The following is a 17978-nucleotide window of genomic DNA, read 5'->3' as shown; positions in this document are numbered from 1 at the left end:
AGAGAGCACTCACTTGCTTAGAGGTACAGCTTCACTCACAGTCCTACCTCGGAAGCAGTAAGGAAGCTGCTTACAAGCTCTGGCTCTGAAGCCAGTGGGCCTGGATTCAAATCCTAGCTCTACCACTTGATGGTTATCTAGCCTCTCAGTTTGCTTATCTACACAATAGGGAAAATATTAGAAGCTACTGCAGTAGGGTTGTTTGGAGGGTTATATTAGTGAGATATGTACCTAGCACTGTACCTGGCGCATAGGAGTCCCTCAAAAATTTGAGCTACTGTTTATATCCTATGCAAACCATGTACCCTATAATGAGAGTTCAAGCTCTGAACCAGGGCAACCTGGTGAGGGGAGGGCGTCAAATTCTCTCTGGAGAATTAGGAGTAGAACGCAGGGCCAAATGGTTGGCAGTGGGAATGAAGGCGGACAAGATGCGTAAAAAGAGGAGCCAGAATCTGAGATCGAGGCCTGAAGAGTCACAGCCAGCACCTCATCACGAGTCTGCCCCTCACTCTCTCCCCATGCTCACAACCCCATTTTCTGGCTGCCCCTGCTTACCCTCCCTATATCGGAGTAGCATCAGGCCCGTGGATGTTTCGAGCCAGTGGCTTCCACCAGGTGCTTATTGACTCTTACTGTGTGAATGAGAAGCTCATGTCATGTCCTCATGACTACAGGGAACACCACTTCCCCTATCTTTTACTCCCCCTTCCTCTCTTCTTTCCCTCACTACACACACACCTTTCCAGATGCTTCCCTTGAACCCAATAGCTGTCACACATTCCCAAGAACAGCCTTTGGATCTGGAAGACAGAATGAATAAAGGAAATCATTCCTTCCATCAATACAGCATTTTGCAAAGTGATTTTATACGCTTTTTGATAACACTCTGAGGAAAGTATTATTTCCATTTTAGAGATGAGTAACTAAAACTTATAGAACTTAGTAATATCTCAAGGTCACACAGCTACACACGGTAGAATCAGGGCCTGAACCCCACACTTTTCACTTCTAAGCCAGGGTCATGTCCACTGTACCCTCCACCCTGGCCTCCCTGCCAACCCAGGACTCAGGGTCAGTCAGGCCACTATGGCTGCAAATCACAGCCTTTATCTAAGAACTTGTCTCTGGGCAAGTCATATACAGTTCTGTGTGTTTTGTGGGTAGACACCACCCCCAAGTACCTAGCTTTGCCTCTGGAAGTGACTTTTAAGAAGAGGTAAGCTAGTCAGGGTATTCAGGGATGCCAGGAGCAAAGTCTTGGATCAGAGCTGCTCTGCCTGCTCGTGTCACAACACTCTCCTCTGGGGGAAATTCCCAGCAGCTGTCATGTGGTTGGGTTCAAGATTCTGCCCTAATGTGGTCTGACAGCAGCTAAAAGGCTAGAGTGGGAAGATCTAGGACTGAAAATCCCTCAGTGGAAACCTGGTTTCCTGTTACTACCCTTTGTGTTCTCTGTGTTTGAGGGACTCAGGAAGACTCAGGCACCGTGATTATCTGGCAGGTTTTGAGTCTCATTCATTAGCCATGGGAAGAGGCACCTCCTCCTCCTGTCCATCCAGAGAGGGCCTGAATCTAAGCACACCAGGCAGATGAGTCTGTGCTTCCCATGTTCCCCCTTTAGACCTGGCTCTCATCTTCTCCTGCAATGGCCAGTATCTTGTCACTCATGACACCGCTTCTGGATCCTGGGGCCCGCCTCTTCCCTCCCTCCCCTCTCCTCATCTGCCAGCATCATCACAGAATCGCTCTGAGGGCACCCCAGAGTCCTTCATGTTTTTATCTTCTGAATTCCAGAACTGACAATTTCTTCATTACAAGGGGGAAAGGGCTGACTCCTGTAATCTCGGGGAGACCGAGGTGGGAGGACTGCTTGAGGCCAGGAGTTTGAGACCAGCCTGGGCAACACAGGAAGACCTCATCTTTACAACAGTTTAAAAATTAGCCATGTATGGTGGTATGCACCTGTGGTTCCAGCTACTCAGGAGGCTGAGGTGGGAGAATCACTTGAGTTCAGGAGTTTGAGGCTGCAGTGAGCCTTGATTGTGCCACTGTGCTTCATCCTGGGTGACAGAGATGCAGTCTCAAAACAAACAAAAAACAAAGGGGAAAAGATGTATTCCTTCTCATCTTCCCTAGCCTGTGGGGCTGAGAAGGCAGGTGGTCTGAGCCCCCCTTCTACCCTATCCAAATTGCTGTCCTTCCCAGCTCCACCTCAGCTGCCAAAGCCTGCCATGGTACACAGACAAAGGGAACCACAAAGCTCCCCCAGGAAACCAAAAACGCCAACACAACAGATTTATAACTGTGAATAGACTCCAAGAGATCATGGAGAAAAGCTCCAAGCCTTTTTAGTTTCTACACACACATACACAAACACATACACACACACATATACACACACACCCCCCGACACACTCTTTCCTCCACCCCCAACAGCCCTCCCTTAAGGGAGATGTTAATGGAGTCGTCCATTAAATGCAGCAGCTGCCAGAGCATTCAGCTGACTGGGCAGAGGGCCTGAACCCATTTATTCCAAACTGCAGCCCCCATCACATATCTCAGGTTTTTATCTTTTCATTTCCACATTGTGCTCAGGCCAGGTCGCTGAATGCCAGCTCCCGGCCTGAGAACCCACATGCTTCCGTGGAGTACACACTAATGCCTGCCTGCCTATTGGCCACAAAGGCCATGCACGGAGAGATGGGAGGGAGGACAGCGGGAAGGGTAAATCAGCACTCATTTCCCAAAACCCACTCATGCTCAAGAAAATGTTGCTTAAAGAGCCCCACGTGGAATCTTTCTCTATGACAATTATCTATAACTGAAAATTTGTTACAATGTCACAATGTCTAAAATCCACTCTCAGCCTGGCATGGTGGCTCATACTTGTAATCCCAGCACTTTGGGAGGCTGAGGCAGGAGGATTGCTTGAGCACAGGAGTTTAAGACTAGCCTGGGAAACATGGCAAGACCCCGTCTCTACAAAAAATACAAAAATTAGCCAGTCCTGGTGGCACGCACCTGTAGTCCCAGCTACTCAGGAGGCTGAAGTGAGAGGACTGCTGGAGCCTGGGAGTCAGAGGCTGCAGTAAGCCAAGATGGTGCCACTGCACTCCAGCTTGGGTGACAGAGTGAGACTTTTTCTCAAAAAATAAAATAATTCACTCTCAAGAGGAAGACTGCCTGTTTCTGAAGACTCTGTCCACAAGACCAGCGTCACCTGTCATTTCTAATGGGTCCCTGCCCTGTCCTCCATTGTGAACTATTAGAAAGCCAAATACTTTACCGGCTGTTTAGAATGAAGGCAACAAAACGAGTTTCATATAGTGTGGGAAAATCCTAGAGTATCAGCTGTGTACAATCTGGCAAATTGCAGGAACATGGCTTGATGCAAGAGTGGGACTCTGACTCAGCACAAGAGTCGGACTCTGACTTAGCACAAGAGTCTGCCTTCAGTTCTTGGTTCTTCCTGCTTCTCTCAGCTTTCTCTTTGACCTTCTGACTCTTGGAGTAGCCATTCTACAAACATTATCTGAGTGCTGCTATGTGCAAGCTGCTGCTCCTGGCACAACCCATGGGTTCATGGCAAGACTGCCTCCTCCTCATGGTTCTCCAATACCCCCAGCTGGTTTTCTGGACCCTATGACCAGGAGCTGGACTGATTTGATCCTCTCTTATACTGACCTTCCCTTTCCTCACAACTGAGTCTAGAAAGTACCTCTTATAATTGACTGCTGAACCTATCATTTGTGTTTCCTTTTTTTTTCTTTTTTTTTTTTTTTTTTGCGATGGAGTTTTGCTCTTGTCGCCCAGGCTGTCGCAATGGCATTATCTCAGTTCACTGAAACCTCCGCCTCCTGCGTTCAAGTGATTCTCGTGCCTCAGCCTCCCGAGAAGCTGGGATTACAGGTGCCTGCCACCATGCCTGGCTAATTTTTGTATTTCTAGTAGAGATGGGGTTTCACCATGTTGGCCAGGCTGGTCTTGAACTCCTGACTCAAGTCATCCACCCACCTCTGACTCCTGAAGGATTGCAGGCATGAGCCACCGCGCTCAGCCCATCATTTGTGTTTCTTAAGCAATTTCATTTGAATGAGCTAGATGTACTCTACAGTCAAAAAGGCAAAAAGACAACGCATGCTGTAATGGACACGAGTTTCTCCCCAAGTGTTGCTTCCTTAGGGGATCAATCTCTTTAGTTATTCCAAAACCACATGGTCCTGGGAGTGGCAAGATCCTCCCCTGGACTTCAGGGGTAAGGACATGACCCAGGCCTAGCCCATCAGATTACTCCACACCTCTAGGCACAGCAACTGATTCAGAGAAGGACGTAGAACTCAAACCAGACCAATCACAGTGCTCTCCGGGCTTCTGCAGGAGCTATGGAAAAAATACATACTCTCTCCATGGAATGGTGAGTTCTGAGGGTAGCGCTGGTTTGGAGCTGCTGGTGGCCACCTGGCTGCCATATGTGAAGAGCCTGTCTGACCCTGAAGCAAGGCAGCAACAAGCAAAGCCAAGGAACAGGGATAGTCTGTACCCCATGCACCATTTGTTTTTGTGTGTGGGTGTTTTTGTTTGTTTGTTAATTTTCTTTTCTGAGACAGAGTCTTGCTCTGTCACCCAGGCTGGAGTGCAGTGGCACAATCTCAGCTCACTGCAACCTCCACCTCCCAGGTTCAATTAATTCTCCTGCCTCAGCCTCCTGAGTAGCTAGGATTACAGGTGTGTGCTACCACACCTGGCTAATTTTTTTTTTTTTTTTAGATGGAGTCTCTGTCACCCAGGCTGGAGTGCAGTGGCCCAATCTCAGCTCACTGCAAGCTCTGCCTCCCGGGTTCATGCCATTCTCCTGCCTCAGCCTCCCGAGTAGCTGGAACTACAGGTGCCTGCCACCACGCCCAGCTAATTTTTGTATTTTTAGTAGAGACAGGGATCCACCGTGTTAGCCAAGATGGGCTTGATCTCCTGACCTCATGATCCGCCCGCCTTGGCCTCCCAAAGTGCTGAGATTACAGGCATGAGCCACCGCGCCCTGCATTTTTGTATTTTTAGTAGAGACGGGGTTTCACCGTGTTGGCTAGGCTGGTCTCAAACTCCTCACCTCATGATCTGCCTGCCTTGGCCTCCCAAAGTGCTGGGATTACAAATGTGAGCCACCGTGCCCAGCGTGTTTTTTAATAAGCTGGTGTTTTGAAATTTTTATTTATTTTTGTATAAATGGGATCTCGCTATGTTGCCCAGGCTGCTTTTGAACTCCTGGGCTCAAGCAATCCTCCCACCTCAGTCTTCCAAAGTGCTGGGATTACAGGTGTGAGCCACGGTGCCCTGGCCATGATGCATCATTTGAAGTCATGGATCTAGTCTTCCCAAAGCCAGTCGACCATTTTGCTGGAGATGTTTGGAAGAAAACAGCTACCTTTTAGTTAGTTGTCTCTCTGGGATAAGGTCCTTATACTACCTTTCTGTTTGTTTGAGACACAGTCTCGCTCTGTCACTCAGGCTGGAGTGCAGTGGCGCAATCACAGCTCACTGCAACCTCTGCCTCCTGAGTTCAAGTCATTCTCATCCTTCAGCCTCCCAAGTAACTGGGACCACAGGCACACACCACCACGCCTGGCTAATTTTTTTGTATTTTTGGTAGAGACAGGGTTTCACCATGTTGGCCAGGCTGGTCTTGAACTGAGCTCAAGTGATCCACCTGCCTTAGCTTCCCAAAGTGATGGGATTACAGGCATGAGCCACCATTCCTGGCACTACCCCTATTTTATTCCCTCCCACAAAATATGTTGGGAGAAAAGTTATGGAAATGGATAATAATTATCCAAAATTTTCCTTTTCACCTCTAAATCAAAACACAAGATTCCAGATCTCTTGAGAGTAAGAATCAGGAGCCACTCTGATTCTAGAAATAGTGAGTCAACTAAGTGCTTTGAGGTCAGAGATATTTGAGGTGTATCCCTACATCTTTGGGAGCATCTCGATAAACATTTACTGTGCTCTCTGTCTCATTTTCTCTGGGGATCACTATCAAAATAGACGGATCAAGGTACCACCCAGTGGCCTTGCCAGAGAGGGTTCTTTGCCCCCTCACCAACTCCCTTCCCATCCTCACCACTAGTGGGAAGGAGGTCTTCAACATAACGGTGCATTGAAGTTAAGCTCTAAGGGGTGACAGAAGCAATGAGGAACCGTCTTGGAGGTGCTTTACTGGAAGAAAGTAAGAATCCACCTTCATCCTTCCAAAATAGAGCCAGACCTTGGCCAGGCGCTGTGGCTATAATGCCAGCACTTTGGGAGGCCAAGGTGGGCGGATCATCTTAGGTCAGTAGTTCAAGACCAGCCTAGCCAACATGGAGAAACCCCATCTCTACTAAAAATGCAAAAATTAGCCAGGCGTGGTGGCACACACCTGTAATCCGAGCTACTCAGGAGGCTGAGGCAGGAGAATCGCTTTAACCTGGGAGGCAGAGGTTGCAGTGAACCAAAATCACACCACTGCACTCCAGCCTGGGCAACAGACCGAGACACTGTCTCAAAAAATTAAAATTAAAATTAAAAAATGGAGCCAGACCCAATCTCACAGGCCCTAATAATGAAGCCTGGACTCAGAGAAGAAAGCAGGGGGTAGAAAGGAAGGAGGAGGAAATTTAAAGGGAACAATTGCAAAAAGATTGAAAAAGAAAGCCCCAAGAACAAAATAGCATCATGAAGAGGCCAAGAAGCTGAGCAAAACATAGCAGAGGGATGACAAGACCTGAGTACCTGCCGCCTTTCCTCAGAGCAGCCGGTTCCCTGGGCAGGTGCTGGGCTTCTTCCAGAGAGCTCCGGACCCTGCCCAGGGGAGTGTGGCGCTCAGGGCGCAGCTGGCTCCCAGGCAGAGCACAGACCTACCCGGCTGACTGTCTAGTCATGGCTCAAAGGTTCTTCCAGTCAATGTGCTTCCTTTACTGGTTAAACCTATGGAACCTCAGCCTGTGGCTCTCTGCTAACAAGGCTTTTTATACCCTTGCTACCACAGCTGTCTGCCAGATGCCTATTGAAGGAGCCATCTATTGCTAGAAAAACACACTCCACTTCTTTTTCAGTGGGCCTTTACTCCTCTATGCTTTCTGAACATAGAGAGAGGGGCTGTTGTTCCCAATGCTCGTTGTCATTGGGCATTAATCATCACTATACTCACAGGGCTCTCTACAGCCATTTGGGTTGCTCAATACTCTGCCACTTGGGAGAGCGGCTGTATTAGGTCAGGTTCCCCAGAAGCAGAGCCTGAGGTAGGATTCAAGGCACACGATTTATTGAGATGTGGCTTCAGAAGAAAGAGAATGAAGGAAGCAGGGAAGGGTAGGAGAGAAGGATATGGCTGCAACTTTGTGTTTAGCCTCAGCCTGACTCCACTGGGGGGTACTCAAGAGCATAAACAGCACCAAGGAATTGATCCTTTCTTGCAATGAAGGGGCTGGTCTTTGTACCCTCTTGGCTGAAACCTGAAGGGGATGGGTACAGGAGGGTACAAAGGGTCTCCTACACACTGGGAGCAATTTTCTGGAGGCGGGGACATCTGTGAGCTATTGGAGTCCCAGATAACAGCTGGGGGATGGATACACTGAAAAGGTAAAGGGAATCTGGGCAGGGTACCAGCAGCATCCAATACAGCTACACGTTAGTTGGCCAGGGCTGATGTAACACAATACCATAGACTGGGTGACTTAAACAACAGACATTTATTTTCTTACAGTTCAGGAGGCTAGAAGTCCAAGATGGGGGCAGTAAGAGGGGGAGAGGGGGAGGCAGAGTAGAGAAACCAAGCCCTCTGGTGTCTCTTCCTATAAGGGAACTAATCCCACCCTGAGGGACCCATCTTCATGACCTCACTTTAATCTGACTGCCTCCGCAAAGTCCCACCTCCAAATACCATCTGGGCATTAGGGCTTCAACATACGAATTTTGGGGGCACACAGTTCAGTCCATAGCAGCTACCATTTTCTAAACAGGAAAGCCAGCTTTGTTCCATGAGAGCCATTTCCCCACCAGTCATTTCCCTGCCACCTAAATTCCTCTGGGAACCCCATTTGTTGACTGATATGGAAGAGTTAAGTTTAAACCCCAGCTAGCAGAAACAGGCCTAGGATCTCCCAATGGCTTCTCTTTCTTCTGCCTTAGCAGATGCTCTGCTTGATCTGGGAAAATCAGGCTGGGAATGCTTGCAAGCCTCAGTCCTTGGTAAGTATTCTGGAGGTGACAGCTGAGGCATGTGCATGCACTCCTACCCAGCTCAGGCTTTGAAGCTCGGGAGCAGAGCCATTAACATTCTCTTCAGCCCACAGATAGTTCTCTTCAGCCCTTGTTGGTCTCATTTTCTTCCCTCCTGACTTTTTCATCAAGAGCAGCAGCTTTCTTGTTCCTAGAACCTTTTCTTCTCTTCAAAGAGCTCTGGTCCCCAGGGAGGCCTGTGGCAGAGAGACTTGCCAGACACTTCTGGGTTCCCAATGAAGAGGAGACCATGCCACCTGCTTTGCAGCTAAGAACCCAAGCACCCCCGCTCCCTTCACAGATGCCTTCAGGATTGAGCAAAGGACCAGCCAGGGGGGCCCACTTGCCCCCTGGTTTCCTGGGCATCTGCAGGGGTTAGGCCGTGGGCTAGAGGGACTATCCTGCTGGGTCCTCAGGTCCACTCCTACTTCTGAATTTGGGCTATTTAAATAGAGGAGGTCAGAGAGGATAGTCACAGAGAGTAGGAATCCACCCACTGCCCCACCTCCATTCTGAAGCTATGAGAGGAGGTGGGGAGGGCTCCTTTCACAGAAGACCTCCTGTAGGCTGGAGAGGGGCAGAGAAGAGTTCTCAGTGGGAGCACCGTTCACGCCTGTGTGATTTATTAAGAGCTACTATCTATCAAGCTGTGTGGGGGGGTGCTTAGAGAATAGGAAAAAGTAATATCGGGGAAACTTAAATTCTACTAGCCCCAAAGCAAATTTCCTAAGCAGTCTACAGATGTTAGTAAAAGGGACTCCAGTGCTTGCAATTCAGACAGAGGAGAGTCAAGCAGATGGTAATTCACCATCATTGTCTAAACTTTCCTCTTAGGGCTGCCCTTTCTCCAAGAGCCACTGGTTGTATCCCTGTTCCCCCATGAGGTTTTGCAGGGGTGAGCGAATTGTGCCATATTCCTCCACTGCCCAGGACTTGGTTCTGTCATCTCTGCATCTTCCCTGCCCCATGCCCTACAGTTGTCTCAGGAATCCGAGCACTCACTCCTTACAGTTGCTTCTGCAGTGATTCCAGAGAGATACAAGAAAGCAACCTCCCCAGGAGCATATTTTATCAAACTCCTGTGCAGTCAGAACAACAGTTATGGCAATGAGGTGCCATCATTTTTATTCATTTCCCTGTCCCCTCTGGCTGCAGAGCTGGGCCCAGCATCACATTGCACACCAGCCCAGGTAGGCCCAGCAGCACACAGAGGACTGTGACTCCATCTGCTGGCTTGACAGCAGCTCCAGATCAGAGCCTTTGAATTCCTTGCAAGGCAGGCTCTGGCTCTGAACTGGAAGACCAAGAAGTCTTTTCATCATGATAAAGTAAAGATATTCAGCCATTTTGTCAAAGGCGATGACATCTACCCCTCCCACCTTAAACCCATAGACACAGATACAAATACGCCAGGGAAACACTGAGCCAAGGATTGTTGATCTCTCTGACAGGAGTTAGGGAAGGCAGCCCAGTAGCCACTGGCTGTGCTGTGCATAAGCATTGCTTTGGGGGCTATAATAGAGACCTTCATACAACAAGAGGACAGCTCCAAACCGAGGTAGGGGTGGGATCAGAAAAACACTAATGAAATTAGCGTTTTCTTCTTTCCATCATGCCCTTCACCTCTACTTGCCTTCTTTATGAAAGAGGCTTCCTCTGTAGATTACTTAACTATTCCCAAGGGCCTGTGGTCCATGCAGAGTCATCTTTATCCTCAAGATTTCTTACTGCTCTTACTGAGCAAGGAAAGGATGAGGGCCCACTTTAGAGATGAGAACAATTAAGCTTCCTTGAGAGAAGACAGGAGAACAATAATATTACCTACCTATACTCAGAAAATAACCACTTGGTTCCTGAAATCCCTTGTTTGATGACATTGTGTTATTTGGAAATTTCAGTAAGGCTCCAATATGCAGTACCCATGTCATACCAAAGTGAGGCGCCAGCAATGATGCAAATTTTCATAGGAAACAGTTGACAATCACTTATGGGACTCTCAAATTTTCACCCCTATCAAGGGGAAAAAGAAATTGTTGGATATTAAGAGAATGTTTCTGAAAAGGATTTATTCGGTGCAAAGTATTCGTGTGCTATGGGTACCCCCTCCAAAAGAAAGAGGATACCTGTGTTTCACTACAAGCCTAATGAGAAGAGCTTGGAAGAGACTCCTAGGAGAGTTTGATATGTGTCTTCTCCTGCAGTTAGCAGGACAGAGTGGTCTAATTTCTGACTCCAGCCCAAAAAAATGTAGAAGCCACCATATGTGCTAGCAGCTGCTTTGTGATGCTGGGATTTGTTCAGAGCTTGTGTGGGCAAAAACCTGTTTCTCACAGACCTGAGGTGGGGCACATGCATAGGGGGATGTTTTGGAGAGCATTTTAGATCCTGACCAATAGGAATGTCAGAGGGCAAACAGGCCTGAGCAGAAGAGAAACTGGAAATGGACTGTTACATTATGAGGGTCTGGAGAGGGCGAAAGCAACTGACAAGAGGGGAGTCCACTTGCCCAGGCCACTGGGAACTGCTGCAGCAGCAGCAGCAGCAGCAGCAGCAGCAGCAGCAGCAGCAGCAGCAGCAGTGTGTGTGTGTGTGTGTGTGTGTGTGTGCGCAGATCTCTGAAGAACCCACAAAAGTGCTTTATGAGAAAGCTAGATTTAAACACTGGCCACACTGGGAGGTAGGAGAGTGCAAAGCCAGCTTTGACATGAGACAAGTACCATATTTTCTGTCGCCTCTTAGTTTCTTGTGCTCTAATTCTAGAAGGATCAGAAACTTCAGAAGAGAAAGACTACACCCTTTCTTTTCATTTGCAGCAGGCCCCAGATAGGAAGGACAAATAGCAAATAGCTTAAGCTTCGAAAACCAAGCAGAAACATTGATAATACCAAGCTGAACATTTTAAGTGCCTAATTGAAATCATGCTGTACTGCGTACAGTGGCTATAAGGCTTCCTAACACCTCCAAGGGATCCTGAAAAGTATTTGTCCAGGAGCACACTTAAGACCATCACTACAAAGCAGGTTTAAAGAAACAGTGGGGCCAGGCGCAGTGGCTCACGCCTGTGATCTCAACACTTTGGCAGGCCGAGGTGGGCAGATTGCTTGAGGTTAGGAGTTCGAGACCAGCCTGGCCAACACAGCGAAATCCCGTCTCTACTAAAAAAAAAAAAAATAGCTGGGCATGGTGGCAGGCACCTGTAATCCCAGCTACTCAAGAGGCTGAGGCAAGAAAATTGCTTGAACCCTGGAGGCAGAGATTGCAGTGAGCCAAGATCACACCACTGCACTCCAGCCTCGGCAACAGAGCAAGACTCTGTCTTGAAAAAAAAAAAAAGAAAAGAAGAAACAGTGGGAGCTGAAAACAAAGTTTCTGTTATGATTATACCCCATCAGTACTGCTTGTCATTGTTCCAGTTGCAGTTATAAAAGTTGTTCTTCAATCTTTATTTTAAAAATAATTAAAACACCAAAGGACTCATAAGAAGAGGAGCTATTGTCAGAGCTAACAGTTCTCCTTGGCTTAACAATGTTTCAGTGTCCTTGTGGAAAATGAGGCTTCCAGCTCAGCCCACTTCTCCTCTTTCTTCTTCATTTCCTGAAGACTCTCTCTTCCCTCCTCCTGTTACTCTGCAGTATATAGCACAGTTCTGAGTACAGCCACTTTTAACAACATCATAAAACTCCCTCAGTCCTGCCCCCAACCCTGCCCATCTTCAGGAATACCATAAGGACTCAGAAGTCATCTCGACTGAGTTTCAGAGTCTCCTCCATGGTAACACTTGCTGCCATCTTCTCAATTTTACCTCTTTTTTTTTTTTTTTTTTTTGAGCCAGAGTCTCACCCTGTTGCCCAGGCCGGAGTGCAGTGGCACAATCTTGGCTCACTGCAACCTCCGCCTCCCAGGTTCAAGGGATTCCCCTGCCTCAGCCTCCCCAGTGGCTGGGATTACAGGCACGTGCCACCGCGTCCAGCTAATTTTTGTATTTTTAGTAGAGACGGGGTTTCACCATGTTGGCCAGGCTGGTCTCGAACTCCTGACCTCAGGTGATCTGCCTGCCTCGGCCTCTCAATACCTCCTCATTCTTTCCCTACAGTTGGGGAATGAGATACATACGCTTACACCCACATACAAAACACCATACAAAGAAAATTCTATACATGGATTCTAGCCCCTTAGAAATGTACTACTTAAGACAGTTAACATTAAACAGACAAGCATAAACATATAAACAATAGAGAAACAACATTAAACCAATACATGAATGAACAGCAGGGCAACTTCATGATTGAGATGGCAAGCAGGCGGCCAATCGATGAATGTTTACTGAACAGCTCCTAGGTGTCAGATGTTGGGCCAGGTTTTGGCAATAAAAATTTGAACAAAACAGACATAGTCCCTGCATACATGAAGAATCAAAACACTAGAGAAGATAAATACTAAATAATTTTTTACTAAAAAGTAGCTTATAGGCCAGGCACAGTGGCTTACGCCTGTAATCCCAACACTTTGGGAGCCAAGGTGGGCAGATCACCTGAGGTCAGGAGTTTGAGACCACCATGCCCAACGTGGCAAAACCCCGTCTCTACTAAAAATACAAAAATTAGCTGAGCATGGTGGCAGGTGCCTGTAATCCCAGCTACTCAGGAGACTGAGGCAGGAGAATCACTTGAACCTGGAAAGCAGAGGCTGCAGTGAGCCGAGATTGCACCACTGCACTCCAGCCTGGGCGACAGAGTGAGACTCCATCTCAAAAAACAAAAAAAAGTATTATAGGTGTAGACAGTGCTGTGGAAGATAATATGCAGGACTGGCCTAGGCCTTAGGAATCTAATCTATTCTGGGGGCTGGAGAAGCTTGCCTATACAAGTGACATTTATGTTGGGACCTGAAGGCTAAATAGGGTTAGACAACTGGCTGGTGGGGAGAAAGTGATCTAGGGAGAAGTGAGGGCCTATGGAAGTGCAGAAGCAACACTTCAAGGACCCGAAAGAAGGCCCGTGTTGCTGCAGTGAATCTATCAAGGAAGGGTTGCCGATATAAGGAGGTTGAAGGGACCAGCAGGAAGCTGGGAGATTTTTTTCTTTTTTAAGAGAATGGATCTCACTATGTCACCCAGGCTGGAGTGTGGTGGCTATTCACAGGCACACCATCATTGCACACTACAGCCTTGAACTCCTGGGCTCCAGTGATCCTCTTCTCAGCACTACAGGTGTGCACCACCACACCCAACTCTGGGTTTTTTTTTGTTTTTTTTTTTTTGAGACAGAGTTTCACTCTTGTCACCCAGGCTGGAGTGCAATGGCACCATCTCGGCTCACTGCAACCTCCGCCTCCCAGGTTTAAGCGATTCTCCTACCTCAGCCTCCCACGTAGCTGAGATTACAGGCGAGTGCCACCGCGCCCGGCTAATTTTTGTATTTTTAGTAGAGATGGGGTTTTACCATGTTGGCCAGGCTCGAACTCCTGACCTCAGGTGATCTGCCCTCCTCAGCCTCCTGAAGTGCTGGGATTACAGGCATGAGCCACCGCTCCCGGCCTTTGGGGGATTTTAAATGTTGATTAAGAACAAGCAAGTGGGCCAGGAGCAGTGGCTCATGCCTGTAATCTCAGCACTTTGGGAGGCTGAGGTGGGCAGAACACCTGAGGTCAGGAATTCGAGACCAGCCTGGCCAACATGGCGAAACCCTGTCTCTACTAAAAATACAAAAATTAGATGGGCGTGGTGGCCAGCTCCTGTAGTCCCAGCTACTCTGGAGGCTGAGACAGGAGAATTGCTTGAACCCGGGAAGCAGAGGTTGCAGCAAGCCAAGATCGCACCACTGCACTCCAGCATGGGCCACAGAGTGAGACTCCGTCTCCAAAAAAAACCAAGCAAGTGGAAAGTATAGAATCAAAGACTTGCAGGATGGGCAGTCACAGGATTTAAAGGTCATCTAGTCCCACCACCCAGATGATACTGGTATCTCCTCTGCTCATTTTTTATCACCAGATGAATCCAAATGGAGGCCAGAGAGGGGCTGGCATGAGGTCACAGCAGGCTGAGGTAAGGGAGTATCCATGAAGCCCCGAAGGCTGAGGCAGGAGGGTTCCGGGTTCCATTTCTCTGACCCAAGTATGAGTTGGAGCTGGTCTCTGGTCAAACTGCCTATTTGTGTGAGGACACTCATAGGACCAGCCAAGGAAAAGCAGATAACAACCATTCGTGTTTATTAACCATAGCACATTGGAAGGCTAATTGCTCTGAGCAGGTGTCGGGGAGGTTGATTTGTTCAAGAGGGCCTGGCTAGTTTGTATTCGTGACAGAGAAATCTATTGTTGAGAGCCGGGCAAGACAGCCTGTGAAGAAGCCAAAGAAGGGCAAAGCCAGCCTGACCAGCACCCAGAGGAGCTCTGGCCCATGGACTCGATCAAGGAAATTTGTTCATCATTATCAGGGCAAATGCTTCCTCCTGTGCTGGCAGCAGGACAAACAGGCTACTCCTTGGTGATACAAACCAGTGAAATATTCATGATTATATGACAATAATGAACCTGGCCCCTTCTTCCCTTCATCTTCCTGATTCTCACTGTGTGGCAGGGCTGTGTGTGCTCACAAACAGTCCTGTGTCCTCGTCATTATCATAATTAATCAATATTTAATAAGTGCCCCCCACACTATGAAAAGCCCTGTGGTGACTCAGGATACAAGAAAGTGGTAGTCTCTGCCCCGAGAAGGTTCACAAATCTAAATGAGGAAAGTAGAAACATGCACCAAAAGGTAAACCATAACCAATACATGGCTGCAGTGACATGGGTTTGGGATTTAAAAGGCCATCAAAAGGCCAGGTGCAGTGGCCCACACCTATAATCCCAGCACTTTGGCAGGCCAAGGCAGGAGGATCACTTGAGCCCAGGAGTTGGAGACCAGCCTGGGTGACAGACAGAGTGAGTCCCTGTCTCTACAAAAAAAAAAAAAAAAAAGAATTTTCTGAGACAGGGCCTCACTCTGTCGCCAAGGCTGGAGTGTAGTGGTGCAATCTCTGCTCACTGCAGCCTCCGCCTCCCAGGTTCAAGCGATTCCCCTGCCTCAGCCTCCCAAGTAGCTGGCACTACAGGCATGGCGCTGTCACATCCAGCTTTTTTTTTTTTTTTTTTTTTTTGTATTTTTAGTAGAGACGGGGTTTCGCCATGTTGGCCAGGCTGGTCTCAAACTCCTGGCCTCAAGTGATCTGCCTGCCTCCGCCTCCCAAAGTGCTGGGATTACAGGTGTGAACCACCGCACCCAGCCTACAAAAAGTTTTTTTAATTAGCCAACCATTGTAGTACATGCCTGTAATCCTAACTACTTGGCAGGCTGAGGCAGGGGGATCACCTGAGCCCAGGAGGTTAAGGCTGCAGTGAACTGTGATCATGCTACCGCACTCCAGCCTGGGTGATAGAGTGAGACACTGTCTCTCAAAAATAAATAAAAATAAAAGTAAAAAATAAAAAGACCATCAAAGACCACTGTAGAAGAACAAGACAGAGCCTAGAACTTAAGGAAATTGGCCTCAGAGCAGCATGATGCAGGAAGGTACTTCAAGCAGACTAGAAAGAGATGCTTTGGGGTCAGGAATGAGAATGTTTGTAGGTCCTGGAACAAGGGAACCCAGGCCTTGATCCCTGGCATGACAGCACCTAAGAAGGGAGCAAGACCCTAGAGAGGCCTGGCCTCATGGTATATCTAGGAGATAGGACCCCAGGCCAGAGGATGAGGCAAGGATGAAGAGCAGGCTGTCAGTACCTGGGCCTCAAGTGATGGTACAAATGATGGGACAACTCAAAGCTCCCTCCAATCTCATCCAAAATATAAGATCTTGGAACCATAACGCAAGCTTGAAGACAAGAAATAAGCTAGATTAACTTTCCCAACAGTCAGATGGGATCAGAGCATGTAATTGGAGTTTACCTTTATTTAAGAATATAAATAAATGTGATACTTCCTACACACATGAATTTATAAACTGAGAGTCATACCTGCTGCAGTTGCTACAGTTCAAGTGTGAAAGGATGAGAACTAGATTAGAATGATTTCAGCGAAAAGACAAAGACATAAAAGTCCTAGTGATATACAGGAATAAAGAACAGAACTAGATTTGCCCAGAATCTACAGCAAATCCCAGGACACATTGAGAATGCACAAAGTTTCTCCTTGTTTCGGTTGCTCTCTGCCTGCAGGCATCCCTACAGGGGACTCAAGTCAATGCTTTATGAGTTAGTCTTGGCATCCATAAGTTATGATGAAATGCAACTTAAAAAAAGCTTTGTTCTCTCCCAAGGCTGCATGTTACTGCTCAGGTGGACAGGGTAATAAAAAAAAAAAAAGAAGAAAATTTAGTCACTGAGTTTCTACTCTGTGTCAGAAATGATGAGGACTAGCAATACCAAGATTACTAAAACTCTCTTCCTGCCCTTAATATGCTCATTATCTATTCAGAGGAATGGCCATTCCAGCAAATAATTAAATCCTCTGTGATATGTTGTGATGGAACTGTGGATAAGTTCTCTAGAAGCACAGAGGATCAAGTGACAAGCTCAAGAAGCCAGAGAAGGCTTTTACAGAGAAGGTGAGATTTAAGTGGTGGGCTTTACAGGATGAATAGGAGCTCACCATTTGTGTTTGTTTTGTTTTGTTTTGTTTTGTTTTGTTTTGTTTTGTTTTGTTTTGAGGAAGGGTCTCACTCTGTTGCCAAGGCTGCAGTGGTATGATCTCAGCTCACTGTAACCTCTGCCTCCTGGGCTCAAGTGATCCTCCCACCTCATCCTCCTGAGTAACTGGGACTACAGGTGTGCACCACCACGCCCAACTAATTTTTGTACATATCTTTTATAAAGATGAGGTTTCACCATGTTGCGCAGGCTGGTCTCAAACTCGTGACTTCAAGTGATCCTCCTGCATCGGCCTTCCAAAGTGCTGGGATCACAGGCATGAGCCACTGAGCCTGGCCCAACATTTGGAAAAGAAAGAGAAGAGCATTCCAGAGAGTGAGAAGAGTACACAAAAAGCATGGAGACACAAAGAAAGGGTGGGCTTGCAGTGTGGAGGAGGGAGAGGAGGGGTGAAAAAGAAGTTGGCAGGAAACGGCCTTCCAATATTTTCACGAGATTAATTAAATTACAAAGATCATGTTAGTAATTCTGCAAATTCACAAGTTGTTGGCCAGGCGTGGTGGCTCACGCCTGTAATCCCAGCACTTTCGGAGGCCAAGGCAGGTGGATCACAAGGTCAGGAGATCAAGACCATCCCAGCTGACATGGTGAAACCCCTGTCTCTACTAAAAATACAAAAAAATTAGCCGGGTGTGGTGGCGGGCGCCTGTAGTCCCAGCTACTCGGGAGGCTAAGGCAGGAGAATGGTGTGAACCCGGGAGGCGGAGTTTACAGTGAGCCAAGATAGTACCACTCCAGCCTGGGCAACACAGCAAGACTCCGTCTCAAAAAAAAAAAAAAATTCACAAGTTGTTAAGGAGCTATATCCAAGCCTCAGAATTTGGATTCACAGGGTAAGTGGGATTATCACAACAGAAGGAAACTCGATTGTATTCCATGAAAAAAAGATGTTCTGCCTGGAATTGGCCCTTACACTTTCTTTTCTTGAGATAGAGTCTCCCTATGTTGCCCAGACTGGACTAAAATTCCTGGGCACAATCGATCCTCCAGCCTCAGCCTCCTCAGTAGCTGGAACTGCAGGCACATACCACCAC

General features: G+C 47.6%; 2 annotated features.

The window, feature by feature from the left end:
* Window positions 1098–1167: an enhancer, noted in NCBI's record as "active region_23212". NCBI's record gives its function as "activates an Ori minimal core promoter by ATAC-STARR-seq in GM12878 lymphoblastoid cells {active_cell/tissue: GM12878}" and the evidence as "EXISTENCE:reporter gene assay evidence [ECO:0000049][PMID:35858748]".
* Window positions 1188–1267: an enhancer, noted in NCBI's record as "active region_23211". NCBI's record gives its function as "activates an Ori minimal core promoter by ATAC-STARR-seq in GM12878 lymphoblastoid cells {active_cell/tissue: GM12878}" and the evidence as "EXISTENCE:reporter gene assay evidence [ECO:0000049][PMID:35858748]".

This window comes from Homo sapiens, chromosome 5 (genome assembly GCF_000001405.40).
Source record: "Homo sapiens chromosome 5, GRCh38.p14 Primary Assembly".
Lineage (NCBI taxonomy): Eukaryota > Metazoa > Chordata > Mammalia > Primates > Hominidae > Homo > Homo sapiens.
The sequence above is the reverse complement of the archived record's forward strand: the minus strand, read 5'-3'. Positions and strand labels throughout refer to the sequence as shown.